This window comes from Homo sapiens, chromosome 16 (genome assembly GCF_000001405.40).
Source record: "Homo sapiens chromosome 16, GRCh38.p14 Primary Assembly".
Classification (NCBI taxonomy): Eukaryota; Metazoa; Chordata; class Mammalia; order Primates; family Hominidae; genus Homo; species Homo sapiens.
Genome location: NC_000016.10, coordinates 12,880,304 through 12,882,208, shown reverse-complemented (window position 1 = coordinate 12,882,208; position 1,905 = coordinate 12,880,304). Strand labels below are relative to the sequence as shown.

General features: G+C 41.8%; 1 pseudogene; it reads right to left on the bottom strand.

Annotated features, from left to right (window-relative positions):
* RPL35AP34 (ribosomal protein L35a pseudogene 34) lies at nt 669–1,130 on the bottom strand (annotated as a pseudogene).

The following is a 1,905-nucleotide window of genomic DNA, read 5'->3' as shown; positions in this document are numbered from 1 at the left end:
ATCTCAGCTCACTGCAACCTCTGCCTCCCAGGCCAAAGCAATCCTCCTGCCACAGCCTCCTGAGTAGCTGGGACTACAGGCACACACCACCACACCCAGCTAATTCTTGTATTTTTTGTTGAGACAGGGTTTCACCATGTTGGCCAGGCTGGACTCACGTGATCTGTCCACCTCAGCCTGCCAATGTGCTGGGATTACAGGCTTGAGCCACTGCACCCAGCCACAGGCAATTATTCTCATAAACTGAAACCAGAAACAAAAAGCACAAAGACTGTTGATCCAAGACCAGCTGTGGAAAGGTCTAGCTCCACATTTTCACAAAACAGGATGATTCCAATCAGGGTGATGTAATGACAGTTTCTCACAACTTGAACTATAGTATTTACTACTCAGACTCTGTAACCTACTAATGATTCTTTTTACTGAAACATACATTACCTTCTCTTGCTCACATGTATAAGACAAGTAGGTTTTATTTAAGAAATTAATTAAGTTCTCCTAGCTACATTTACCCTTGGAATTATTAACATCTGGAAATGAAAAATCAATGAAGACGTGGTGGATTCTTTTATTTCTTGCCTCTTTCTGTCCATGTTAAGAATAGAATTGCTGCTGTACTTTGATCTAAAATCATTGTGCAAATCTAAAGGGAGATATATTTTTTTTTAACAAGAGCACAAATCCACATTTATTTATTGACTTTTCATTAGTTTATTGAGGGGTACAGCATCACTCAGATTCTGTGTCCAATCGCCTTAGCAGGAAGATTGCATCAGAATTTGGCATGAACCATGCCACTGTTTCCATGGGCCCAAGTTACCTTTCCCCAGATTACTCTGGTTTTGTTTGGTTTGCCTCCAGGAGTCACTGTGTTGTTCTTTGCTTTGTATACATAAGTGCATCTCTTGCCCAAATAGAATTCTGTTTCATCTAGGGCATAAACACCTTCAGTTTTAAGAAGAGCTGTGTGCTCCCTTTAGTCCCGGAGACCCCACTTATAGCCGGCAAAAATGGCCTTGGACCACAGCCTTCCAGACATAGTTCTTTTAACAAGTCCTGTTCCCAGCAGGCCTACTCCAGTTATTTGCCCCCAAATTTCAGCAGCAGGTGCTTCACTCCTCTAAAAGGAGATATCTAATTCTTTTTGGGGACCTCTTGTTCTGGGGATTAAATGAGGTAAGTAGATAACATAGCCAAGGGGTGTGGCTCATAGAAGGCACACAACAATTAGCCACCTTTCTTCATTATGAAGTTGTGGCCTAGGAGGATGCTCTAATTCTGTGATTTTCAAAGTGTGATCTTACAACAGAATCATCTGGAATGCTTGCTAAATGAAGATTCCTGGACTCTATCCTTCTAAATCAGAATTTCTGGGAAAGACCCAGAAATCAGCATTTTAAAATGCCCTCTGTTTATGTTTTTAACTTTTTTTTTTTTTTGGAAACAGAGTCTTGCTCTGTCACCCAGGGTGGGGTGGAGTGCAGTGGTGCGATCTCGGCTCACTGCAACCTCCACCTCCCGGATTCAAGTGATTCTCCTGCCTCACCCTCCCCAGTAGCTGGGACTACAGTTGTGCTCCACCATGTCCGGCTAATTTTTTTTGTATTTTTAGTAGAGAAGGGTTTTCACCATGTTGGCCAAGCTGGTCTTGAACTCCTGGCCTCAAGTGATCTGCCCACCTCCGCCTCTCAAAGTACCGGGATTACAGGTGTGAGTCACCGCACTCTGTCCTCTGTTTAAATTGTATGTATTCTAAAGTTTAAAAGTCATCATATCTGATCCAGTGACCCAGGGTGTTCATGAGAATAGTGTGTTAATACAAACTGTTTTGTTCTAAGATGACAAAAATTCAAATGAAATTAACTTAAGCTAAAAAAAGAAAAAATAAAAAAGGAAGGAGGACTT